Source organism: Homo sapiens, chromosome 16, assembly GCF_000001405.40.
Source record: "Homo sapiens chromosome 16, GRCh38.p14 Primary Assembly".
Taxonomy (NCBI): Eukaryota; Metazoa; Chordata; class Mammalia; order Primates; family Hominidae; genus Homo; species Homo sapiens.
The window spans coordinates 57,366,190-57,392,815 of record NC_000016.10 but is presented as its reverse complement, the minus strand read 5'-3'; the positions used below and the strand labels follow the sequence as shown (position 1 = coordinate 57,392,815).

General features: G+C 51.1%; 1 protein-coding gene across 2 annotated transcripts, besides 6 other annotated features; it reads right to left on the bottom strand.

Moving 5' to 3' along the window:
• Window positions 7,724-8,413: an enhancer, noted in NCBI's record as "H3K4me1 hESC enhancer chr16:57418315-57419004 (GRCh37/hg19 assembly coordinates)". NCBI's record gives its function as "activates a minimal SCP1, AML or CMV promoter by ChIP-STARR-seq in naive H9 embryonic stem cells {active_cell/tissue: H9 hESC(naive)}" and the evidence as "EXISTENCE:reporter gene assay evidence [ECO:0000049][PMID:30033119]".
• CX3CL1 (C-X3-C motif chemokine ligand 1) lies at window positions 7,772-20,326 on the bottom strand. 2 transcript variants are annotated; one of them, NM_002996.6, is made up of 3 exons: window positions 20,178-20,326; window positions 13,062-13,182; window positions 7,772-10,786 (listed from the first exon to the last, which is right to left on the bottom strand). In NM_002996.6, the coding sequence occupies exons 1-3, from the start codon at window positions 20,245-20,247 to the stop codon at window positions 9,784-9,786; spliced, it is 1,194 nt and encodes a 397-aa protein (NP_002987.1). In that variant the 5' UTR covers window positions 20,248-20,326; the 3' UTR covers window positions 7,772-9,783. The 2 variants fall into 2 exon arrangements, with proteins under 2 accessions (NP_002987.1, NP_001291321.1); NM_001304392.3 differs by lacking the exon at window positions 13,062-13,182.
• Window positions 8,145-8,304: an enhancer, noted in NCBI's record as "active region_10893". NCBI's record gives its function as "activates an Ori minimal core promoter by ATAC-STARR-seq in GM12878 lymphoblastoid cells {active_cell/tissue: GM12878}" and the evidence as "EXISTENCE:reporter gene assay evidence [ECO:0000049][PMID:35858748]".
• Window positions 8,414-9,104: an enhancer, noted in NCBI's record as "H3K4me1 hESC enhancer chr16:57417624-57418314 (GRCh37/hg19 assembly coordinates)". NCBI's record gives its function as "activates a minimal SCP1, AML or CMV promoter by ChIP-STARR-seq in primed H9 embryonic stem cells {active_cell/tissue: H9 hESC(primed)}" and the evidence as "EXISTENCE:reporter gene assay evidence [ECO:0000049][PMID:30033119]".
• Window positions 11,262-11,311: an enhancer, noted in NCBI's record as "active region_10892". NCBI's record gives its function as "activates an Ori minimal core promoter by ATAC-STARR-seq in GM12878 lymphoblastoid cells {active_cell/tissue: GM12878}" and the evidence as "EXISTENCE:reporter gene assay evidence [ECO:0000049][PMID:35858748]".
• Window positions 11,432-11,491: an enhancer, noted in NCBI's record as "active region_10891". NCBI's record gives its function as "activates an Ori minimal core promoter by ATAC-STARR-seq in GM12878 lymphoblastoid cells {active_cell/tissue: GM12878}" and the evidence as "EXISTENCE:reporter gene assay evidence [ECO:0000049][PMID:35858748]".
• Window positions 13,645-14,225: an enhancer, noted in NCBI's record as "H3K27ac hESC enhancer chr16:57412503-57413083 (GRCh37/hg19 assembly coordinates)". NCBI's record gives its function as "activates a minimal SCP1, AML or CMV promoter by ChIP-STARR-seq in primed H9 embryonic stem cells {active_cell/tissue: H9 hESC(primed)}" and the evidence as "EXISTENCE:reporter gene assay evidence [ECO:0000049][PMID:30033119]".
• Window positions 20,327-26,626: the final 6,300 nt, after the last annotated feature.

The window sequence follows — 26,626 nt, the reverse complement described above, 5'->3', positions numbered from 1 at the left end:
TATTAGTCAAGGTTCTCTAGAGGGACAGAACTAAAAAGATAGATGTATATATAAAGGGAAATTTATTAAGGAGTATTGACTCACATGATCACAAGGTGACATTCCACAACAGGCCATCTGCAAGCCAAGGAGCAAGGAAGCCAGCCTGAGTCCCAAAGCTGAAGAACTTGGAGTCCGATGTTGGAGGGCAAGAAGCATCCAGCATGGGAGAAAGATGTAGGCTGGGAGGCAAAGCCAGTCTAGTCTTTCCATGTTCTTCTGCCTGCTTTTATTCTAGCCGTGCTGGCAGCTGATTAGATTGTGCCCACCCAGATTGAGGGTGGGTCTGCCTCTCCCAGTCCACTGAGTCAACTGTTGCTCTCCTTTGGCAACACCCTCACAGACATACCTAGGAACAATACTTTGCATCCAATCAAGTTGACATTCAACATTAACCATCACAACATCCGAGCCATTAAAACTCTCGAGCACCAACGTATTTCAGAGAAACTGTAAAGCCTTTCCTCTTTCCAACTCCACTCAGTGAGAATTCCAGATAAATCCACAGACACCATAGACAGTGGGCCGTGCTGAGGGTGACCTCCAAGCATCTGCAAAAAGGATGAATGAAGAGATGAAGAGGAGAGCCAGCTAACAGCATGTTTTCAAGCTTTTTTTTTTTTTTTTTGAGACAAGGAATTGCTCTGTTGCCCAGGCTGGAGTGCAGCAGCACAATCATGGCTCATTGTAGCCTCAACCTCCCAAGCTCAAGCAATCCTCTTACCTCAGTAGCTGGAGCTACAGGTGTGTGCCACCATGCTTGTTTTTTGTTTGTTTGTTTGTTTTTGTTTTGTTTTGTTTTTCTTGTAGAGATAGGCTCTCCCTATGTTGCCCAGGCTGCTGTCCAACTCCTGGACTCAAGCGATCCTCCCGCCTCAGCCTCCCAAAGCGCTGGGTGTGAGCCCCCCACGCCCAGCTTGTTTTCAAGTTTTTTTTTTCCTTTCCTTTTTTTTTTTTTTTTTTTTTTTGAGTCCCTGTAGCTGGAACGGGACTATAGATGCACACTGCCACACCAGGCTAACTTTTGTGTTTGTAGTACAGATGGGGTCTCCCCAAATTGCCCAGGCTGGTTTTGAATTCCTGGGATCAAGCGATCCACCCGTCTCAGCCTCTCAAAGTGCTGGGATTACAGGTGTGAGCTACTGTGCCTGGTGTTTTCAAGCTTTTTAATAGCATCATGCAGATTACAGACAAGTCATGCCTATTTAGTCCAAGCAGTCATATTTTTTCTTCCTGGATGCTGTATCCATCAGGATGGGCTAGGATATGCTGCAATAACAAATATCCTCAAACTCTCTGTGGCTTAAACCACGAAGGTTTATTTCTTCCTCACACTTCGTGACATAGATTAGCTGGGGCTCTTTCCATGGCTGGAGGCTCTGATTCACCCTCACTGTAGGACCCAGCCATTTTCTGGAGTGTTGTCAGATGCTGTGCTGGAGGTACTGAAAGCTCTGGTGGGTCTTCCATCAGCAATTAAATGCTTGAAGCTTGTGTGGCACACGCTGCTTCCACTCCCAGCTCACTGGCCAGAACTGATCATTTGACTCCCACCAAAACCCCAAAAGGCTCAGGAAGAGCAGTCCCCTCGAGTGCTCAGGAGGCAGCAAGCCAGAAATATTCAGGAAACTGAGTACTCCAGTTGCCAAGTTCTTGAAAGCAAACAGACTTTCCTTTCTGTCCCAAGTCAGCCTGCTAGTCAACAATTAATTAGTTGAGATTTGTGCATTTTGACCTTACCAAGTATCTCAGCCTATTTTCTGTTGCTTAACTGAATACCACAGACTGGGCAATTTATGGAGAAAGGAAATTTGTTTCTTACAGTTCTGCAGGCTAGAGAGCACAAGGTTGAAGGGCTGCATCTGGTGAGAACCATCTTGCTGATGGGGCCTCTGCAGAGTCCCAAGGTGGGGCAGGGTATCACATGGTGAGGAGCCTCACAAGAGAGAGCGAAACTGGTTTTTATAACAGACACACTCTTGTGAAAACTAACCCCCCTGCGATAGCCCATTAATCCATGAATGGATTAATTCATTCATGAGGGCAGAGTTCTCCTGACCCAATCAAAAGATCCCACCTCTCAACACTGCCGCCATTGGAGACCAAGTTTCCAACACACAAACTTTTGGGAGTCATATTCAAGCAATAGCACCAAGTTCAAAAGTAATTTAGAAAAGCTACATCAACTTGAACAGCATCTATGGGCTTAGGGAAAAATTATGCAAGTTAAGATGATTATTTTTTAATTAATCAATTTATTTATTTATTTTTCGAAACAGGGTCTCACTGTGCCACCTAGGCTGAAGTGCAGTGGTGCAGTCATAGCTCACTGTAACCTCAAACTCCTGGCTCAAGCAATCCTCCTGCCTCAACATCCTGTATAGTTGGGAATACAGATGTGTGCCACCATGCCCGGCTAATTTTTTATTTTTTGTATATATAGGGTATCACTATGCTGCCCAAGCTGATCTCAAACTCCCGACCTCAAGCAATCCTCCTGCCTTGGCCTCCCAAAGTGCTAAGATTGCAGGTGTGAGCCACTGCACTCAGTCACAAATTATTCTGCTCTCGTTAATGACACTATAATGTTTCTTCACCCTACTTTACTGAAAACCAAGAAGACTGCGTTTCTTTATAGATATCTTATAATTCTATAGTCTTGTTTGGGTACCCAATAACAAAAGCAAATATAAATAGGTTACTTCAAACCCTTTGAAAACATCTATTGCATGATCATACGTCTGTTTATTGAGAGCTCACTATGGGAATGTCATTTTTCTACATGTTTAAGGGTTATCTCATGATACCTTCACCCCTGAGATGAGTTGTTGTTATTCCCATTTTACAACAGAGAAAACCAAGACCCAGAGAGGTTAAGTAACCTGCCCAAAGTCATGCAGCCAGGGAGTCCCATGTTATGTTTTGCTCCTGCATTGCTAGAAATTGCTCATTGCAAATAATCCTATTCTGGCCTCTGAAGATAACAGGATCCCCTGAAGGTAAGAGAGGGGCATCTCTTCAAAACATGTGCTGCTCTGGAATTCTCCTGGGTTCAGAGGCACACTCCCCACCTCAGTTTGGCATGATTAAAGAGATCCTGCTTGGGTTTCAGTCATTGAACTTTGCTGCCAGTTCAGGAAAGCCAGCCTGGCAGTAGATCTTTTCTTAAGTCTTTGCAGCTAAATCATTATTTATCCAGGAAAGCACATGTCTGAGCAGAAGTGAACAGGGCACGGGTGGTCTCCTGAGCGCTTATGTACATCTGGGAGGAACTGGGCATGTGCGCACACACACAGACACACATGTGCAGAGCACAGACACATATACACACAGAACACACATATACACACATACACATAAACACTCGCATATGCAAACTACACACACTCATACAAACATGCACTACACATACACACAATGCACACACATGCACAGTATACACATATGCATGCATACACACATACACACAACACATGCATACATACACTACATGAATACACACATATACACGACACATACACAAAATGCACACACATGCACAATACACACATACACATGCATACACACACTACACACACATGCATAGTACACACATACACACATACATATAAACATACATACATACACTACACACATATATACACGACACATATGTACAATGCACACATATGCACAGCACACACATACACATATACGTATATGCATAAACACATGCATACATACACTACACACATACAGACAATACACATACACACATATATACATGCTACACACATACACACAATGCACAGACACACTACACACATTCACACAATACACATACACACATATACAAACATACCACACACATACACTACACACACATATACACACATACTACACACATACACACAATGCACACACACATATACACACACATACTACACAATACACTATACACATATACACACATACTACACACATACACACGATACACATATACACATATACACACATATTACACTCATGCACACAATACACATATACACATATACACACATATTACACATATACACACATACTACACAGATACACATAATGCTCACACACACAACACACATACACGCAATACACACAAATACACCATGCCTTCCGGGCACCTGTTATTCAACCTCAAGCAGGAAATTCCCAGCCATTCATTTCTGTGTTTTTCTGTCTGGCCTCACCCTTTTGGGGAATGTACAGAGGACACAGGGGACTCAATGGCAAAGATCAGAGGGTGAGAAGCTCAGGGCCTGAGAACCTTGGGGGGTGGGAGCCGGTGGTCCGGTGCAGTGGGCTCCAAAACTTTGGACAGGCATCAAATCCCCTAATTTGGAGGCAGTGCAGGGTGGACTGAGGAAGAGGAGAGAGAAGGAGGCTGAGGCGGGGGTGGGAGAATGGTGCAGCTTGAAGGGGCGACCCCCACGCCTGAAGCCTGAACTCAGCAGGTCAGAAGTGGGGCTCAGGAGCCTACACTTTTGAGAGTCTGTGTCTCACACTTTTCTCTGTAATGCTCAGGCTGAGTTCTGGAGAAAGACCTTGAGTTCTATCCCTGCTCTGCTGCTTATAAGCTGCTTCACCCTGAGCAAGTCACATGTCATTTGAGAGCCTTTCTCTTTTCTTTTTCTTTCTTTCTTTCTCTCTTTCTCTTTTCTTTCTCTTTCTTTCTCTCTTCCTTTCTTTCTCTTTCTCTTCCTTTCCTTCTTTCTTTCCTTTCTCTCTTTTTCTTTCTTTCTTTTCTTTTTCTTTTCTTTCTTTCTTTCCTCTTTTTCTTTCATCTCTTTCTTTCTTTCTTCTCTTTCTCTCTCCTTCCTTCCTCTCCCTCCCTTCCCTCCCTCCCTTCCTTCCTTCCTTGCCTCCTCTCTCTCTCCCTTTCTCTCTCTCTCTCTCTCTGTCTCCCCTGTTTCTTTTTTTTTGTTTTTTTGAGGCAGGGTCTTGCTCTTTTGTCCAGGCTGGAATGCACAGGCATGATCATGGCTCACTGCAGCCTTGACCTCCCTGGGCTCAGGTGATTCTCCCACCTCAGCCTCCCAAGTAACAGGGACTACAGGCACATGCCACTGCACCCAGCTAATTTTGTATTTTTATAGAGATGTGGTTTCACCATGTTGCCCAGGCTGGTCTCTAATTTCTGGGCTCAAGTGATCTGCCGGCCTCTGCCTCCCAAAGTGCTGGGACCACAGGCTTCAGCCACCACGCCCAACCTGAGAGCCTTGCTTTCATCACTAGTAAGATGAGGATCATTGTACATAAAGAATTTCACACATTGCCTGGCACATGGTAAACATTACATGAACAATGTCTGCTATTATTTTATAACTAATGTTATATAATAACACCCGTACTCCCCCAGGGTGACAGTGGGCAGGTCCAGGCAGCAGCTGCCATTTGAGATAGAGCAGGCTTGGGTCAGCTCTCTTGTTTCCTACCATCCCCTCTACCTCCTGGATCCCCCATACCTTGTGCCCACATCAGTTACCATTTATCATTGCTCTTCTTGTTTTTCTTATAGTGAGGATATTTTTCTCTGAGCCCAAGTCTCCATCAAAAGTAGGTCAAGGGCCAGGTGTGGTGGCTCATGCCTGTAATCCCAGAACTTTGGGAGGCCGAGGGGGGGTGGATCACAAGGTCAGGAGATCAAGACCATCCTGGTTAACGTGGTGAAACCCCATCTCTACTAAAAATACAAAAAAAAAAAAATTAGCTGGGCATGGTGGCACGCGCCTGTAGTCCCAGCTACTCAGGAAGCTGAGGCAGGAGAATCCCTTGAACCTGGGAGGTGGAGGCTGCCGTGAGCCAAGATCACCCACTGCACTCCAGCTTGGGTGGCAGAGTGAGACTCTGTCTCAAAAAAACAAAAAAATGGTCCCATTCAAACTGTGCATTAATTGTGGGAATGGCTTCAGCTAACATTTAGCTCTGAAACTGAAAGAAAATGAAACTACACAAACACTCCAGGATCCCTGGGGAATTGCTCTGGACTGAGCCAGCATACAAGTCTCTCCCACTCCTACTTCTCATCCTGAGCCTGCTGAGAAGGTTGCAATCTTACCTAAGAATGTGATGAAAAGACAGAGACACATCTTTTCATTTCAAAGCCTCTGTTGGTGTCTTGTGTTGCTGGTGGGTGGTGTGCAGGGAGAGTTTGGGGGCTGGAACCAGGCCTGCGGTGGAGCTCCTTCCTGGGGGTGGGAAGGGGCGAAAGCTACACAAGCTTGAGTTTGGGGCAGAGCAGGGGGAGCTCACGGCAGGGGGAGAGCCGCAATTTACAGCATTGCACAGAGGCAGAGTGATTCCTACAAGCCCGAATCTATGAGGTTTAGCAGGTAGTGAAACAAGGGAAGCCAGCAGGGTATGAGAGAAGCCATGTGCCCATCATGGTCTGGCTTTCCTTGACCTACTTTTTTTTTTTTTTTTAGACGGAGTCTCGCTGTCACCTGGGCTGGAGTGAGTGCAGTGGCGCGATCTCAGCTCACTGCAGCCTCTGCCTCACAAGTTCAAGCCATTCTCCTGCCTCAGCCTCCCAAGTAGGTGGGATTACTGGGGTGTGCCATGACACCTGGTTAATTTTTGTAGTTTTAGTAGAGACAGGGTTTCACCATGTTGGCCAGGCTGGTCTCGAACTCCTGACTTCAAGTGCTCTACCCACCTCGGCCTCTCAAAGTGCTGGGATTATAGGTGTGAGGCACCGCGCCAGCCTTTGACCTACTTTTGATGGAGACTTGGCTCAGAGAAAAATATCCTCACTATAAGAAAAACAAAAGAAAAGCAATGATAAATGGTAACTGATGTGGCCACAAGGTCCAGGAGATCCAGGAGGTGGAGGGGATGGTAGGAAACGGGATTGCTGACCCAAGCCTGCTCTATCTCAAATGGCAGCTGCTGCCTGGACCTGCCTACTAAAAAACACCATTCATGTAGACATTGAATCTAAGATACGATTGATGGTAAGATGTTCTGATATTTAACAAATTACTAATAAAGAAAAAAAGCCTGCCAATTAAGCTGTGACAAGCCATTGATTACAAAACGAGTCTCAATTCCACACATGTCACAGTGTGAAAAGGATGCATCCTAACATTCATGAAATATTGGATACCAGTAGGCTGGACTTGGTCTGTGGCAGCCTTGCGCAGTTTCCAACCTGCACAACTGTACACAACAGCTCTTATGAAGCTTCCCAGAACACTGAAGAGCTTAGGGGCCACCACGAGGCTCACACTTGGGGCACATCTATGAACTCCCAAGTCCCTTAAGAAGTAATCCCTCTTTGATCTTCATCTGAACCAGGAAGGCCACAAAGAGGAAACTATGGGCCAGTTTCCTCCCATGGGGCACCAGTTCACTGAGAGTGGTCCTAGGGCCCCTGGGATGGTGGTTCGGCAGGCATGGGGTAGGGCTTCATGAGGGATTCTGAGTCCTGCCAGACTAGGAGAGGCCTCACATTTATAAGACCCAGAGAGGTGAGGGCCCTGGCCCAACATCACACAGCCGGGCAGAACAGAGCTGGGCTGAGGGCTCGGCACTCCTCACTCTAATCCCTGGTGCTTCTTCTCTTGCTGACTGTAAAAATGTCTGCTTTTCTGCCCCAGGTGAACTGGAGATAGGGGTCTCCGGGGCTGAAAGGGGTCTTGCCCCCAGCCCTGCCCCACTCCTTCCCCTCCGAAGCCCTGATTGCTGCACTTGTCCCCAGAGAAATCACCCATATTGATTCACAAGACTTTTAAATTTTATTAGTAAAATACAAAATGGCACAGACGTTGGTGATGAGGGTTGGAAAAGTCTTTCCAAAGTCTTCCTACTCTTTCCAAAGTCTTCCTAGATCATCCTTGTCCATGTCCTGCTTGGAGAAACTAACAAAGTCCATGGAAGGGGGACCAACTGGCCCCAGCGGCTTCCTCACAAAGGAGGCAGGGCCCCATCACAGGGTGTCCCACCCCTGGAAGGCTCTCCCAGCCTGGAAGAGCCAGAACAAAGTGCATTGGGCCCACTCCCACCCTCTCTGAGCTGCCAGAGTGACCCCACCTGAGCCAGGCCCTGAGCTTCCTGAATATGCTGCGCCACACCCAGCAGGGGAGTGCAGAGGCCAGGTGGGCAGGGCAGCACAGCGTCTTGCTCTCTATGGACCAGAGCTGGGTTTCCTTCCTCCAAGCACCCATCTGTGAAGGAGTGTTCCTAGCACCTGGGTAGAACCCAGCCCATAAGAGGCCCCTCAGGTAGACGGCAAGGGTCGGGGACAATCCAAGGGAGAGGTGAGCTGCCACCAGGGACCCTGAGGGGCCAGGCCAGCCGGTGCAGCCCCATCCAGGCATGCTCGAGCCTTCAGCAGCCAAAAAAGGGAACCCCTGACTTTATGCCTACAACTTCCCCTTTCCCATGTCCCAGCCCCCTTCCCGGGTAGCGTCCCTTTCAGAAACAAACAGGGGACTCATGGAAAACATCATGGAAATCCCTGGTCCTGTCTGCGGTGGGGACAAAGGTGAAGGAGAAGGTCTTGGAGGGCAGAGAACAGTGTTTTCAAGGAGTGAGAGAGGTGGGAAGGGAGCCCAGCCTCAGGAAAGAATCTGGCGTGTGTGGGGTGGGACCACAAGGGTCTTGTGGCCTGGCTGCCTGCAGGAGTCTCTGAAGAAGCATCAGGAATGTGGCTGCTCCTGGAGCCTTTCCTGGGCTTCTTGGACATGTGTCTGGAGCCCTCCCTCCCTCTTAGCGGGTGATGGGAGGCAGAGCCCGGGCTGTCTCAGTGACTAAGCCTGGGCGGGGCCTTCAGGGATGGTCTCTGCTCTGCCCATTTCCATTTGGGGGCCCACAGGGCAGGGTCTGTGCTATCAACTCACTCCCTTGCAGGCCCTCTGGGCCTCAGGGTCCAAAGACAAGTTAGTCCATTGGCAGGGACTGTCTAAGGTGCTCTGCTGGTAAGGACTGTGAGGCTGCATCCAGGGGCTGGAGAGAAGGGCCTCAGGTCAATGAGTGTTGTCAGGGGGACAGGTATTCCTTACCTCCCTCTTTCCTTTCACAGATGGGAGTATGTTGGTGGCTTGATGGTGGAACTAGGATCAGAACCCAGCCTTCAGACTCAGCACAGTGTAGACCAAAGAGGAAAGTCACCAGATACCCTTATCTCCCCTTCCCACAATGCCTAACCAAGGGCAGAGCCTCACTGGAAGCAGTGCCAGGAAACACCACACTAGCCTCATGCAAGAAAAGACATGTCACCAGTGGGGGCGTGGGCTCTGTACAGAGGATGGGGCTGGGGGAGATAGCACCGCAGGTGGCCGGGGTGACTGGCAACTGCAGCAGGACCAAGAGACACAATCAGGTTGCAGGGAGTGGGCAGAGGGCCTGGCCTGATGCTCATGTGTGAGATGGGAGGACTGTAGTACTCACAGGGCAGCATGGGTCAGAAGGGGCTGGGCATTTAATAAATAATTGTTCATTGGGGCTGGGATGGCGTCAAAGGGAACCTCTAACCAGCCAGCAGCAGAGGAGAGTTTTGGGGCTGGGGTGAGTTGGGAGGCCACCCCCTCTGTCCCTGGCAGGTGGAGAATGGTCAAGGCTGGCCTCCTGGGGAATGCCTGGGAGCTTGGAGCTTGTGCACCTGGAGGATCCCACCTCCCCCCTCCAATCATCCCAGCTCAGGCCAGGCCCTTGGGTGGGGGTGGGTATGAGGATGAGGGATCCCAGGCAGCTGTCTGAATCAAACAACTAGACACAGGCCAGAGGAGTTCACACGGGCACCAGGACATATGAATTACTACCACAGCTCCGGGGGATGTAGCGAAGGCCCTCCGCCATCTCTCCTGCCATCTTTCGAGGGCAGCCCTGGAGGCTCTGGTAGGTGAACATGGCCACCCCCAGGCAGAAGAGGAGGCCAAGGAAGGCCAGCAGCCCCACCGCCTGCCTCCGGGTGGCAGCCTGGGCGTCAGGGACAGGAGTGATAAGGACGCCCAGCCTCTGGGGGTCCATGGTGGCATGGATGGGTTCCTCAGCCTTAGGGGTCCAGCTGCCTGAAGCCACTGGCTCCCTGCTGGGGGTCCCTTCTGAGGAGACAGGGACCACAGAGACGTGGGCCATGCTGCCAGGCCCCCAGTCCTGGAAGGCATCCGTGTGCGCTGGCACGGGACCCATCTCCTCCCGCTCCAGAGAGTTCTCTGGCCTGGGGCTCTGTCCCTGACCCCACACACGCTGGCCTTCAGACGGAGCATTCTCCTCTGGGGCTGGGGAGGACGCAGTGGAGGCCTGGGTGGAGGGGTCCTGGGTGGACGGGGCCTCAGAGGTCTTTGCCTCAGCCCAGAGGCTGGGCCCAGGTTGGTGGGGAGCAGAACTCTGCCACGTGGCGGCAGTGGAGACGGGAGGCACTCGGAAAAGCTCCGTGCCCACAGGCCCTCCATCCTGAGCCTTTGGCGTCGGGGGGAGCCTGGTCCCTGAGGAACCAGTCACGCCCGTCGGCAGCTCTGGGGAGGTCCCCAGGGCCCTCTGTGCTTCCTGGGAAGAAGGAGTCGGCTCCAGGCTACTGCTTTCGCCTGTGGCTTCGGGCTCCAGGACCACAGACTCGTCCATTCCCCCGGCGGCAGGGGTGGTCCTGGGCTTCACCTCGCCGATCTGCTTCTCGAAGGTGCCGCCATTTCGAGTTAGGGCAGCAGCCTGGCGGTCCAGATGCTGCATCGCGTCCTTGACCCATTGCTCCTTCGGGTCGGCACAGAACAGCCTGTGCTGTCTCGTCTCCAAGCTACAAGGGAGGAAGACAGGGATTCGGTTATGCCCAGATACCAGAAACCCGGGCCAGCGTGGTGTGGGGGCACAGCACCAATACTCTGCAGGTGAACACACCCGGCTGGAAACCCTGTCCTCCCACTTAGCGTCTGTGAGGCAACTGACCAGCTGGGGCAACCCGCTCTCCTGAGCATCCAGGTCCTCACCCTAGAAATGGAGATAGGAAAGCCTCCCATCTGTAGGGTGACCAGCCATCCCAGAAAAATTGGGATGGAGGGGGTGCTTAGGATGGGGGACTTTCCATTTTAAAACTGGGGAAGTCCCCAGGCAAACACGGACGAGTTGATCACCCTACTTCTGTGTTACTGTAAAAAAAGGTAAATTATGTGAAGCACCCAGCTCAGAGTAGATCAGTAATAGCTGAAAATAATAACAATGTCGATAATATTGTTACCATTAAGGCAGGGGGCTCTGGGCTTTGAGTCTTCTGCTGGGGGGGACTTCAGGTGAGCTCTGTATGGGGCCTCCTCACTCTGGAACAGGCCTTATGAGACTTTGTGAGTCTTGTTGCTCCTCTCCTTCGGTTTCACAGCTACAGGCTGTGCTCCGGGCCCCTCTCCTCCCCTCCTGATGTGTGTTCACGGGCAGAAGGGGCTAGAGCCAAATATGTGGCAGCCTCACTGGGATCCCGAGCGCCCTCCAAATCTTGAACTTCCTCTGAAGCCCTGTGTGGCTAGTTCACCACCAAGCCCACAGCTCAGAGCTGACAGAGGCCCTGGCTCCATGCCACGGCCTGTGCTTGGCATTTTGCCCATGTCTAAACCTTACATCCATTCCACAAGGTGGCTACCAGGCTCATCCCCATTTTACAGATGAGGAAACCAAGGCTCAGAGAGGTGAAGTAAAGGCATCTGGCTCCAGGATGCCGGGAAACCAGAGAAGTCCAGGAAGCAAGTATGACCCTGCAGGCCCCCTGGGCACAGTGATCCCCTCCCCAACTTCCTTCTTCCCCTTCATCTAGAAAACAAAAAATACTTGGGGGTGTCTTGGAGAAGTAAGCCTTGACTGATCAGCAAAGAGGTCCGGCAGGAGCACACTCAGTACCTTGCCCACCTTAGAAACTGCATAATTGAGGAGAGGAAGTGCCAGACTTCCTTTAGCTGGGCCTAGAAAGCAAAGGGCCATTGGCCATTTCCTGCTGCCCGGCCTCTAGGTCTGGCTGAGGCTGCTTTAGGTCCCAAAAGTCAGTCCTGGGGAAAGGCCTCAGGGCTGGCTGGTTAGACAGGACCCAAGAGAGCCCCCAGGAGGAGCAAGTGACCAAGATTGCCAGGGTCTTCAACAGCCAGGGTTACAATGGCTCAATCCCTCCCCAAAGTCTCGAAATGGTCGTTTCCTGTCTGTCCAATGGAGATAGTGATTTCTGCAGCTCCTACTGACAGCACCCTGCCAGGCACTTTATTTACTTTTCTTTGTCTTTTTCTTTTTTTTGAGATGGAGTCTCACAATGTTGCCCAGGCCAGAGTGCAGTGGTGCCATCTTGGCTCACTGCAACCTCCGCATCCTGGGTTCAAGCGATTCTCCTGCCTCAACCTCCCGAGTAGCTGGGATTACAGGCGCCCACCACCATGCCAGGCTAGTTTTTGTATTTTTAGTAGAGATGGGGTTTCACCGTGTTGGCCAGCCTGGTCTTGAACTCCTGGCCTCAAGTGATCCACCAACCTCGGCCTTCAAAAGTGCTGGTATTACAGGCATTAGCCACCGCGCCCTTGCCAAGCACTTTAGTTACATCCTGTCCTAGCTACCCATTTTACAGACAAGGAAACCAAGTTGCAAAAAGTAAGCAATGGAAGCAGGGCCACCCAGCCAGTAAGAGGGAAGGCAGGATTTGCATCAGGTCTGTTAGAGTCTGGAACCTGCATTTTAAGTAAGACCCTCATGCTTTACACCTACCCACACCGCCCCATGAAATATAGTGGGTTCGAGTGTGGGGTAACATGTGCTTCAGCCCAGGAGGAATTACCACCCTTCATGGCTGCTCCAGGCCACAAGCCAGGGTGGCTGCCACCCAGCCACACTGGGCCATTCAGGAAGCCACTCTCCACCTTAGCCATGTGGCACAGAAATTAAGGTCAGTGAGGTGGCCTGCAGGCCAGGGGCAAGAGAAGCGTGTGCTGAGGCCTTTGGCTGGGAGCCCAGGTCTGGGAGCGGAGGTGTGGACGTAGATTCTCAGAGGTCTGGGAATATTCCAAGGGCCCAAAGGGGATTTCAGAGGCCTCGAGGGCAGTACCTACATGATTGCGCGTTTGCCGCATGATGCCTGGTTCTGTTGATAGTGGATGAGCAAAGCTACAGGTATCTTTGATGTCATCTTGCTGCACGTGATGTTGCATTTCGTCACACCGTGGTGCTGTCCTGAGTTCAAAGAGGTTCCTGGTCAGCAGGGATGTCTGTGGGCATCTGGCTTCCCAACCCCGTGCCAGATTGTCCCGGCCACACCACCCAAGCCAAAACTGATCCCCTGTACACCCTGGCCTTCAAGGCCTTTGACTCAGCCTCCCTCCCCTGCCAAACTTCTCTATGCCTCAGTTTCCCCACCTGTAAAATAGGAACAAAAATAGCATCTACCTCATAGTCTTGTTGTAAGAATAAGAAACGTGAATTCTTATTTATAGAGTTCTTTTTGCCTGGCACATATTAAGAGTTTAATTTTTTTTTTTTTGAGTTGGAGTCTTGCTCTTGTTGCCCAGGCTGGAGTGCAATGGCATGATCTCGGCTCACCGCAACCTCGGCCTCCCAGATTCAAGCGATTCTCCTGCCTCAGACTCCCGAATAGCTGGGATTACAGGCATGTGCCACGACTCCTGGCTAATTTTGTATTTTTAGTAGAGACGGGGTTTCTCCATGTTGGTCAGGCTGGTCTCAGACTCCCGACCTCAGGTGATCTGCCCTCCTTGGCCTCCCAAAGTGCTGGGATTACAGGCGTGAGCCACCATGCCCGAGTTAATTTTTAAAATTAAGTGGTCCATTGTGCAGCAGGGGGGATGAATCTGAGAGTGACAGGGACCTGCTAAGGTCACACAGCCAGCAAGTGATGGAGCAGGTTCTCCTGCTCTAGTCCCCACCGGGCCTGTGGCCTTGCCTATCCCCTCACCTCTGCCTTATTTCTTCCCGCTGCCATTTTTTTTTAAGAGATAGGGTCTTGTTCTGTTGCCCAGGCTGGAGTGCAGTGGTATAATCCTAGCTCACGGCAACCTCAAAATCCTGGGCTCAAGAAATCCTCCTGGCCGGGTGCGGTGGCTCACACCTGTAATCCCAGCACTTTGGGAGGCCGAGACAGATAGATCATCTGAGGTCAGGAGTTTGAGACCAGCCTGATCAATATGGTGAAACCTTGTCTCTACTACAAATACACAAATTAGCCTGGCATGATGGTGTGCACCTTTAGTCCCAGCTACTCGGGAAGCTGAGACAGGAGAATTGCTTGAATCCGGGAGGCAGAGGTTGCAGTGAGCTGAGATCATACCACTGCACTAAAGCCTGGGTGACAGAACAAGACTCCGTCTCAAAAAAAAAAGAAAAAAAAAAAAGAGATCTCTTGCCTCAGCCTCCCAAGTAGCTGGGACTACAGGTGCCTGCTACCATGCCTGGCTAATTTTTTTAAGAGACAGGGTCTTGCTATGTTGCCCAGGCTGGTCTTGAACCCCGACCGCAAGTGATTCTCCCACTTCAACCTCCGGAATAGCTGGGATTACAGATGTAAGCCACTATGCCCAGCAATAAACTTTTTAAAAAATATATAAGTACAACTGCTTTCTAAGGAAGGTGGGGTCTGCTGAATAGATGATCCTTTGTTCTGCTGCTGAGAGCCAGAATGAGCCCGAGAGCAGTTGCTGAAAGGTACTGAGTCATCCTGCCTAGGAGGGAAGAGGCATTTGAAATTCCTGGAGCAAGAAGAGTAAGGAGGAGGGTTGGAGATGGACGGTATGAATAAGGTGGGGGCAGAGTGGGGCGGAAGGGGCAGGCAGTAGCTGAGTGTCACGTGGAACCAGAGAGAAACCCCGGGACAGGACAAATAAACCCAACTATTTGATATAAACATTTGAAGTTGTTTACATTGAATTTCCACCTTTTCTCTTCCTCTATAATCTCCAGCAAATTTTCTTCTGCTTAGCTTGAGCTCAAGGAGGATGAGTATAAAAAACAAGGAAGAGCTTGAGTTTCAGATCTGAGTCAAGGTTATATGCAGCAAAAGCAAGACCCCAGAGGGTTTTGCAAACATCTGGAGACCAGGGCAGTCAAGAGAGCAAGCTGATCTTATCTAGCCCTTCAGAGCCTGGGAAACCCCCAGGGCATCCCTGGGCTCCACCAGAACACGAACTGCTCATGCATAAATATTTACATATATGTGGCCATGCAAACATACACCACTTTCCCAAATACAGGCACATGCACGCTTGCACACACAGAGAGACTTTGTAGAGTCTGCTGCTTCCTCTCTCCATCGCTCCCCCTTAGCTTTGGCCCACCCTGCTTTGTGGGAAGGTGGTTTAGGGCCGGCAGGTCTGGGTTGAGTCATCAAGGAGAAGCACTAGTAGCTTCAGGGGGTTGGGGGCTGTGTGCAGGAGGGGCTCCCCAGGTCACAGGGCTGTCCTTTCTCTCTGAGTAACCAGGATATAAAAGTCACTGTGTGGGCTGGCCACCCTCCTTCTGCAATGGAACCTCAGACTGACTCACCTGCAGCCTCCCCAGGCCCTATTGAGTGGAGCCAGGTGGCAGTCCCCTAAAATGGCCTGCAGGTGTCTTCTTTGGGAAGCCCCAGAAAATACGGTGCCCCTGAGTGACCAGAGACAGGAGGAGGCAAGGGAGGCTGCCCAATGGATAGGAAAGAAGGTCCATTCTGTGCTCCCCAAATCCAAGATGGGAAAAGCCATTGCCCACCTCCAGGGCTTTAAAGAGCCACAGAGTCATCCTGTCTCCAAAGTCCCCACCCTCTGCCACGGTCCCTGAATGGTCCTGGCCCGGCTCAGTTCTTGGTTCTGCCAGGAAGATTGTTTAACTGACCTGGGGAGCCTGTCCCTTCTCAGAGCTGAAATTTTCCTTTCTGTAAATGGAGACAATGCCTCATCCAGCCAGTCATATATTATCTGTCATAGGAGTGTCAGGAAGGCAGGGACCTTGTCTGTCTTGGTATCATAGTTTCCCAGCATCAAGCACAAGGTGGATACTCAATCAATATTCATTGAATGAAATTAGTCTCAGTTTACTTATCTCTCTTTAATGCATCTATCTACCTATCCATCCACCCGTCCACCCACTCTTATCAATCTTCTACCCATTCCTCGCCCACCTGCCACCTCCTGCCCAACCCCTATTCATCTCCATTCATCCATCTACCCACTCCCTCTCCCCTACCTACCACCTGTCAATCTTCCGCCCCCTTTTATCTCACCTACTCATCCATCCCTCATCATCCCCTCCCCATCCCTTCTTCCATCCATCCATCTGTCCATCCATCCACCCATCCATCCATCCATCCATTCATCCATCTATCCACCCATCCATCCATCCATCCATCCATCCATCCATCCATCCATCCATCCATCCACTTCCTGATTCAGCCAACACTGGCTGGAATTACTTTTGAGTATATACAAAAATCTCAGGCCCTCTTATCCTTAACCTTGAGCTCTTTCTCCCATAGGCACTGGTGCTGAGTTTGAAGAGAGTGCTTCCATCCCAATAAATGCCATCAGATCACTCTGTTTATTCAGTCAACCAACAAATGCTGGTTCCTCTTGCCAGGCCCTGTGCTGGGTGCTGTGAGGTACAGTGAGATGAACAAGGAATGCCTCTGGCCTCAGAAGGCTCCCAGCCTGATGGACAGGTAAATTAGGCACACAAAGTATCAGAGGTTTTATTTATTTTTTTTAATTGAACACCTACTGTGTATTGGACCCTGTGTCCAGCATGTACACATCTGCTCTCTTTAATTCCCAACATTCCTGCAAAGGGAGTATTATCCCAACTTTACAGATGCAGAAGCTGGAAATAAGAGAGGCTAAATGTGCCCAGTGCCACACAGCTGCATGGTGGCAGAGCTAGTTTTCTACTCAGCCCCTAAACACCCCACTGTTCTAGGCTACCCTAGATGCCAGGTAGAAACACAGTGTTCCAGAACATACCACAAACATATTGGGGTTTACATGAGGGAGAGACCACTTCCAACTTCAAATGGTCAGGGGAGGCTTCTTGGAGGAATTCTCCTTTAGGCTGGACCTCAAGGACTTCTAAGAGTCTTCCAGGGTCTTAGAAGGAGACTCAGGAAATGTCCTGGGTTGCTGGATGAGGTGATAAAGGGAGGGCTTGAGCCATTGCCCAGCTGTGTGTCCTGAGCAAGTCACTCGGACTCCCTGAGCCTCAGTTTCCTTACTTGTAAAATGGATGTGACAATACCTGCTTCACAGTGTGGTTGTGAGAATAAGAATTTTTTAACTTCTGGAGCATTTTTCCCTTAGGGCAAGGTTTCTCAACAGTGACACTACTGACATTTTGGACCAGACAATTCTTTGTTTTGGGGGCTGTCCCGGGTACTATAGGAGGTTTGGCAGCATCTCTGGCCTCTACACACTAGAGGCGAGTAGCTCAACTGAACCAAAAACATTGGGATATTTGTAACAAGTAAAAAATTTCTCTAGAAATTGCCAAATGGCCCATAGGGGAGCAAAATTACTCACTGAGGACCATTGCTCTAGAGATATCCACATGGCTCCCGCCCTCACCCCGCTCCAAACTGTGCAAAGCCACCTACTCAGTGGGCTTCCCTAACCCCCTATTTAAAATGTCAACACCTCTCTTCTCCCCTCTCTATTTTTCTTTTTCTTTTCTTTTCTTTCTTTTTTTTTTTTTTAAATGGACTCTCACTCTGTCACCCAGGCTGGAGTGCAGTGACACGATCTCGGCTCACTCCAACCTCTGCCTCCCAGGTTCAAGCGATTCTCTTGCCTCAGCCTCCCAAGTAGCTGGGACTACAGGCATGCACCACCACACCCAGCTAATTTTATATTTTTAGTAGAGACAGGGTTTCATGATGTTGGCCAGGCTGGTCTTGAACTCCTGACGTCAGGTGATCTGCCCGCCTTGGCCTCCCAATGTGCTGGGATTACAGGCATGAGCCCCTGCGCCCAGCCACCCCTCTCTATTTTTTTATCACAGTGCCTTTTCTCCTTCCAACAGACCACATTGTTTACTGATTTACTTTGTGTGTTATGTGTCCTCTGCAGTTGAATTACAGCACCTCGAGGGCTGAGGTCCTTGGCTGTTTTATTTATTGATGCCGCCCCAGTACCTAGAACCAGGTTTGTCACACAGTAGGTGTCCAATAACTATTTGTTGAATGAATGGACAAAATGCCTAAGGAAGCGCTTTGTGGCATAATACCTTAACCAACAGAAAAATGGAGGAATTTTTATTTAAATTAGACAGGGGCCTGGATCTGACACTCTTGAATTTATCCTCCCATGCCCTCCCCATCCACCCCCACTGCTAATGAGGCGGGTAGGCTATAGGAGCTTAAAACAGATTCGTTTTTTTTTCTCTTTCTTGCCAGGACTTGAGTGGGAGTGAATGCGTCAGCTCTTGGAGTGGGGGGGCAATGCTCTGCACTGACTCGTAGCTGCAGGTTTGTTATATAAAGTACAGAAGCCTCCTGCCTGACACAGCCCCACAAACCCACATTTGGGGACTGACGCAGCTGCCCCACACTAGTCAGGGCAGCAGCTACGAACCCCCCAGCCTCCTCTCGGGGTCTCTCTGGCTTCCAAACCACCCCCTTGTCCTACAGGGGCTCCCGAGGGCCTCTCAGAGCCATACATGTCAGCGTGGGAGAGGACTTCCAAGGTGAGCCTGGTCAAATGCCTAGTTTTACAGGAGGAGAAAGTGAGGCTGAGAAAGGTTCCAATAATGCCCAGGATCTTCCAGTAAAGCCAATGACCAAGATGAGGGCAGAAGCCTGGTTCTAAAGCCTCAGGCTGCTAGTCTGAGCACCCAGGGTCCCCCAGTGTCCCCTTTCCATCCTAGCCTAGGACCCTTCCCTCTCTCAGCTTAGTAAAAGTAATCCTCCTCCTCCGCCCTCTTCAAAACACCTCCATAGGCATTGGAACCTCGTCACCCTCCCCCAATCCACCGGAGAGGTAATAGCTATATTTAAAGATGCAGCAACTGGGACCAGAGGAGGCAAGACCCTGCTCACGGTCACATAACAGGACTGTGGCAAAGCAGCCGCCATCTGACTCCCTGCTTTCCAGATCTCACTGTCCGCAGACACCTCAGGCTTCAGGGCCCCAGCCCAGACAGCAGGAAGCCAGCAGGAATTTGCCTCCACCACTCTCACGTGCCCACCCACCCACACACCTGCTCCCTGCCCCAGGGTGAGTTTGCTCCATGGAAATATCTGGACAGTGGGGACTACTTCTCATTCTCCCAGACTTGCTGTGTGCCCACCTTCTCTGAAGGTCACCCTGCCAGATGGTGGGGGCACTCCCTGAGGAGGGGGCTGGCTAGCGGTTCATGGAGGTGATGTGGCCCACAGAGGTGGTGAGTGTGCATCTGTGCTCTCTCCTGCATTCAGTCCCATGTGTCTTACCTTCTCCTGCCCTACTTGCTGGCTGTGCATTGTCAGGCCAGTTTCTAAACCTCTCTGGGCCTCCATCTTATCCATATCAGGTAGGATGGTTAATTATGTACCCCTACCAGGTCCTGGGCTTCAGTAAGCAAGTGACTAGAGGCAAAAGCATTTTCTACACTGTGCTTGGAGGAGGAAGACAGCATGACGGGTAGACACAGGCAGAGCAACTGGGGCTATAGACTAGCACAGCAGTGGCAAGCCCCAACCATGAGCTGCAGTGACCTTGACCTTCACTGGTCCTGGGCCCCCTAATCCTGGGGGCTTTGAAAACAGGACAGGAGAAAGTCCCAACTGTGGCCTGGCCCAGGGCCAGGGCTGCGGGTTACACATTAACGCTTGATGGAAAGAGCCAGCCACTGTCAGCCAGGGCCTCCCACCCCAGTGCCCAGCAGGAGCTTCTGCAGGCTCTCTCCACCCCCGCCCTCCTGGCACACCCACACCTGGCTCCCTTATGCCACCCACACCACCTCTCTGTGCTTCCAGGCACAGCCACTTTGCTCGCTGGGCCAGGCAGGGCGGTCGCTGGCAACTGGAAATCTGTCCAGCGCTGCATCTGGGGGAAGCGAGGTGCCCAGCCCCCTCTCGCACATCCCTGGGGAAGCGGCTGCCACCGGCCTTGAGCTTTACCCAGGCAGGGTCTGGGGCCCCTGATGTCAGGCTTGAGGGATAGACAAGGGGCTGGGGGCTCCCTACCCTGTTTGTGCCCAAGTCAAGCCCCACTTACCAGCCAGCAGGACAGTCAGATGGCAGAAGGTGGCCAAGCGGAGCAGCCACGACAGAGATATCGGAGCCATGGCTGAGGGTGGGCAAGAGTCCCGGCGGGGGCCAGGCAGGCGGCTAGAGCCAGGCGGCAGAGCTCAGTGCTGTCCCCTTGCCGCCGCCAGAGATCTGTGGCTTTTTATAATGGGGTTGGCTGCCTCCGCCTCCAGCCCCCGCAGGCAGGAGGGTGGGAGGGGAGAGGAAGGGAGCCAGTGTGCAGCCGCTGGATTCCTCAGGATGTTGCCAAGGAACCAAGCCGGCTTTGTGTCCCTGGGCTTCTCACCATCCTAGGCTTGTCATACTGGGACCTTCCCCGGGAGGCTGGACTGGGCCTGCCTGGGTACAAAGGCCTCCTCTCCTGCCACAAGCTGGGAACATGCCCTAGGATCTGGCCTGGGGCCCTTGATCCTAAGTGGGCAACACACAAAAGGCCAGCAGGCCGTGGAATAGAGAGCGGGGCGCCAAGGGGCCGGGAGAGACTCAGGGCCCCTCCATCCTGGGTCTGACAAGCTCTTCTTTGATCCAGAGAATGCCTCGCCCACATCAGGATGGACCCCTAAATTTCCCCTCTTAGAATCCCAAGCTCCTGGGGGACCTTGTTGATCTATGCATCTCCAGAGCCCAGCAGGGAGCCTGAAGTCAGCAGGGGCTTGGTGCAGGGTCTGCTGAAAGAAGGATTGAGTCCAACTTCATATGGATAGATGGGGAAACTGAGGCCCGGAGCCACCCCAGGTTATCCACAGCATCAGAGTGGAGAACTCCCCTCCCACCACCATGATGAGCAGAATGTGGACAGCTCAGGACCCAGGAGAGAGCCCTGGCCTCCCTGCCTCCACCTCCCGGTCTCCCGCTCCCTGCTTTGCACCCACTCCCACCTCTGCTCTGGCCCCTGTTAGCCCAAAGAACAAGGTGGCTGCCAACCCATCCCCGATAACTCTGTGGCTCTTGGCTCCTCAACTCTGTAGCCGTGGCTTGGATAAGGCTTGCCTCTCGTGGGGCCTGAGTTCTCTATCTGCCCAAAGAGAGCATTGGGCTAGTGCAATGGGGAGAGGGCTTCCCAGCACCGGCCCTCCAACAGGCTCTCACCGAAGGGTGCAGAGGCTTGCCAGCCTTGGGAGCACATTAGAACACAGTCTGCCTTCATGGCAGCCTTCCCTAAAGGCAGTGGCAACAATCCCTGAGACTCCAGAAGAGTCAGCAGCTCTGCCTTGGTATAGGACTGAGCTGTACTGGTGTCTCCAGGCTGCCAATCTGAGGGAAACCAGTTGTGGAGCCAGCATCCCACGCTATGAGCCAGTTGGGCTGGGCAGAGGGGCCACAGATCCCAAGGCCAGGGACCTCTCTCTCCTCAACCACCCCCCCCCGCCCCCCCACCCAACCCAATGGGCTGCCTGGTGCATGGGGTTAGGGGTTAGGAGGCTAGATACTTCTTGAAGTAGCGGAACACCCTTGGCAGGAGCCAAGGTCCACTCATGCTCAGAGAATCTGTCCTGGCCTGTGCACATGGGAAGCTAGTAGCCTTCTCATTCCCAATGTCCAATCCCTCTTTTTATAACTGGTGAAACTGAGGCCCAGAGAGGGACAAGGAGGGATAAAAACTGAGGTCGTGTTCTTTCTGCTCTGTTCATGTAAGAACAGAGGAGGAGGCCGAGTGCGATGGCTCACGCCTGTAATCCCAGCACTTTGGGAGGCTGAGGTGGGTGGATCACCTGAGGTCAGGAGTTCGAGGCCAGCCTGGCCAACACGGTGAAACCTCGTCTCTACTAAAAATACAAAAATTAGCTGGGTGTGGTGCACACCTGTAATCCCAGCTACTTGGGAGGCTGAGGCAGGAGAATCGCTTGAACCTGGGAGGCAGAGGGTTGCAGTGAGCCAAGATCACGCCACTGCACTCTAGCCTGGGTGACAGAGTGAGACTCTGTCTAAAAAAAAAAAAAAAAAAAGACATTTTCTTAGGTTCACCAGCCAGGAAATGAGGGATCCTGGATTCGTCCCAGCCAGCTGGCTCTGAGGTCTGAGCTCAAGACCAGTAGGGTCCACCACCTGCCTCCACCCTCACTGCGAGGACCAATGTGAAGACTAAGTGAGTTTATGTCCATAGGGTACGGGACAGAGCCTGGCATAAAATAGAAGCGAAAATGCAAAGCACGGCTCTGCTTTTCCTCATTTGACCCTTTGGACACCCTCTACCCTCCCCAGGTCCAGCTTCTACTCCCATAAAATGGGAATGATCACCCCCATCTATCTCATTAGGATGTTAAGAACTGAATTTAGATTTAATTTGGACACAATAACCAGGCTTTCAGGCTAGCCAGACCCAAGGCTAAACAGGACTCCAGGCCGGATGTGGTGGCTCACACCTGTAATCCCAGCACTTTGGGAGGCCGAGGCAGGAGGCAGAGGCAGATTCCCGGGAATCTGAGACCAGCCTGGCAAAACCCCCTCTCTACAAACATGGTGAAACCCCCTCCCTACAAAAAATATACGAAAATTAGTGTGGTGGCCTGTGCCTGCAGTCCCAGCTGCTCAGGAGGCTAAAGTGGAAGGATCAAGTGAGCCTGGGGAGGTTGAGGCTGCATTGAGCCATGATCATGCCACTGCACTCCAGCTTGGGCACAGAGTGGGACCCTATCTGAAAAAAAATAAATAAATACATCAGCAGGACTCCACCACGGATAAGGGGTGTTCCCTTGGGCAAGTGACTTAACCTCTCTCTGCATTTCAGCTTCCCTATATGTAAAATGGGATGCAAACAGCCACCTCATCAAGCCACCACGACAGTGAATAAAACTAAGGACTTTCACAGTGCCTGGCACGCAGGAGGCATTAGTATCTGTTATTGAGCCCGGTGTGTGCCAGGCAATGTGGTGGGATGGGGGACACAAAGGCAAGTGAGCTGAAGTCCTTGCCCCCAGGAGCTGTAGCTCAGTAGGAGAGAGAAGTTGCCAGCCCTACCAGAGGGCTAGAGGCTGTGGGCTCGGGCAGGAAGGGAGAACTGCATGCTTGTTGGGGAAACAAGAAAGGTGGGTGAGAGAGATGATCTTTCCATCTGAAGATGGGCAGAATTTTGCTTTGTCTCTTTAAAATTTCTGTTTTGGAAAATATTCAACAATACAAAAGAAAGAATCGTACAAAGACTTTCAAATCTCCACCAATGGCTGGGCGCAGTGGCTCACGCCTATAATCCCAGCACTTTGGGAGGCCGAGGTGGGTGGATCACCAGAGCTCAGGAGTTGGAGACCAGCCTGGCCAACATGGTGAAACCCCGTCTCTACTAAAAATACAAAAAATTAGCTGAGTGTGGTGGCGGGTGCCTGTAATCTCAGCTACTTGGGAGGCTGGGAGAGAATTGCTTGAACTCGGGAGGCAGAGGTTGCGGTGAGCCGAGATTGCACCACTGCACTCCAGCCTGGGCAACAAGAGAGAAACTCTGCCTCAAACAAACAAACAAACAAACAAACAAAACCTCTACCACCAATGATTAGCATTTTTTAATATTTGTTTTATCTTTTTTATTTTTATTTTTTAGCCAAACCATTACAAAGTAAATTATAGATGCTTGACACTTTTCCCCTAAATATTCCAGCATGCATCTCCTTAGAATAAAGCTATTGTCTTACATACATGTAATATCATTATCCCATCTAACAAAATTAACAATAATTCCTGTATGTCATCTAACACCCAGTTCATACCCAAATTTCTCCAATTGTCCCCAAAATGTATTTTGTGGTTTCTCCTCTCTCCCTCTTTCCTTCTTCCTGCCTCCTTTCTTCTCTCCCTCACTCCCTTTCTTTTTTATTTTATTCATTTATTTTTATTTTATTTTATTTTATTTTATTTTTTGAGACGGAATCTCGCTCTGTCACCCAGGCTGGAGTGCAGTGGCGCCGTCCCGGCTCACTGCAAGCTCTGCCTCCTGGGTTCACGCCATTCTCCTGCCTCAGCCTCCCAAATATAGCTGGGACTACAGGCGCACGCCGCCACACCCAGTTAATTTTTTTTTTTTTTTGTATTTTTTTTTTTAGTAGAGATGGGGTTTCACTGTGTTAGCCAGGATGGTCTTTATCTCCTGACCTTGTGATCCACCCGCCTTGGCATCCCAAAGTGCTGGGATTACAGGCATGAGCCACCGCGCCCGGCCATTTATTTATCTTTTCGAGACAGGGTCCCTCTCTGTCACCCAGGCAGGAGTGCAATGGTGTAATCTCAGCTCACTGCAGCCTCGACTTCCCAGGCACAAGCGATCCTCCCAGCTCAACCTCCCGAGGAGCTGGGACCACAGGCTCACGCCACCATGCCTGGCTAATTACTGTACTTTTTTTTTTTGTAGAGATGGGGTTTTCCCATGTTGCCCAGGCTGGTCTCAAACTCCTGGGCTCCAGCGATCTGCCCACCTTGGCCTCCCAAAGTGCTGGAATTATAGGCGTGAGGTACCACACCTGGCGCCTCCCTCCCTTCCTTCTTTCTTTCCTTTATTCCCTCCTTGCTTTTATCTTTTGAACGAGGATCCGATCTAGGTTCATGCACTGCATATGGGTATTTTTGAGTCTACACAGACCACTTGCACATTTTTTAATGACTTCAACTTTCTTAAGAGTCAAGTCGGCCGGGTGTGGTGGCTCATGCCTGTAATCCCAGCACTTTGGGAGGCCAAGGCAGGCAGATTACTTGAGGTCAGGAGTTTGAGACCAGCCTGGCCAACATGGTGAAACCCCGTCGCTACTAAAAATACAAAAATTAGGTGGGCATGGTGGCATGCACCTATAATCCCAGCTACTTGGGAGGCTGAGGCTAGGGAATTGCTTGAACCCTGGAGGTGGAGGTTGCAGTGAGCTGAGATCGCGCCACTGCAATCCAGCCTGGGCGGCAGAGTGAGACTCTGCCTCAAAAAAAAAAAAAAGAGCAAAGTCAAGTCCATTGTCTTATACGGTGTTCTCATTCTTAATTTAGTTATTTAGTTATTTCCTTGTGATGTCATCTAATTTGTTCCTCTATCCTATTTATTTCCTGTAAACCGAAAGTTAGATCTAAAGGCTTGATTAGACCCAGGCTACATACTCTTGGCAAGAATCTATTATGAGTAATACTGTACACTTCACATGGACCAGTTGCTCCAATTTTCCTTGGATGGATGGGATTGATGGATCGATGGGTGATTGCTAGACATCTTTATTATAGAAGAATTAGTCCCCTTGTGATTTGCAAGTCAGCTGTGGCATGCTGGGCTGGCACCCTGCCACATGCACCTAGGCAGGATTTTGACAGACCATTCCAGGCAGAGGTGAAAGCCTCACCAAGGTGGAAGGCACAGTACGTATTCAGGGGTGAGGAATGGCTGGATGCCATTGGCTCCAATGGAGGCTGCGGCTAGGCCCAACTGCAGAGAATTGTGAAGCGGGAGTGAAGAATGAGGATGCTGTTCACAGGCCAGAGAGAGCTGGGAAGGTCTTGGACTGAGGGATAACTAGAGTAATGATGAGAAAAAAAAATGGGTAGCACTGGACGGCAAAAATTTCCTCTGGGGTGGGGTGGGGGTGGTGAGAATGGGGGTGTCCTTGTCCCCACCTTCCACAAGCCCTCAGGTGGCCAGGACCCTGTGCCCCAGAGAGCAGGGAGCCTGTGCTGTTCTTGAGGGATATGAGGGACTCCCCAGCCCTGGAAGTAGCACAGAAACAGCTCTGGAGAGGAGGATGGGGAGATCGGGGCACTCCTGCAGGACCAGGATGGGAGAAGGGATGGGCATGACCAGGGGGCCTCCCCTGCCGCCACCTCCAGGGCCCCTGGGACCCAGTCCCACCCAGCTCTCCCAGCTTATCTTTTCTGGCCAGTAAGGAGGATTGCCCACGTGTGCTTAGCATTTCCTCTGCCTGTGACCACGCTGGCTGTACCAGAAGGAAGGGGTCTCGGTCCCTGAAATGACCACATGGAAGGTTGCCTAAGACTGAGAATGCTTGATTAGACTTCGTGTGAGAAGAAATAGCTTCTGCTGAGTTGAGCCACTGAGATTTGGAGGTGTTTGTTGCAGGAGGTAGCCTTTCCTGACTAATACTCCCTCCCTTTCTCCAGTGTCTGCCCGTGCAGGGGGAAGGTGAAGGCTGAGTGGCTGAGTGATTATGCTGCTGAAAGCTCGAGATGTGGGGACTGCTTTAATGGTTTCATCAAATCCTCCTGACAGCTGGTCCCAAGGTGGGCTGGGAACTCTGGGACAAATGTCTGGGCTTCTCCATCAGCACCTGTGCAGCCACCTCCCAGGCCCTTGTGTCCAGCCCTGACTCCCACCACTCACAGGGTGACCTTGGGCAAGTCACCACCTATTTCAATGGGAAGGCTTCCCCAGTGGGATAGAGGGGATCATGGTGCCCCCTGCCCCATCTCACAGGGACAGCAAATGCCAGGAAACCAAAGCAGACA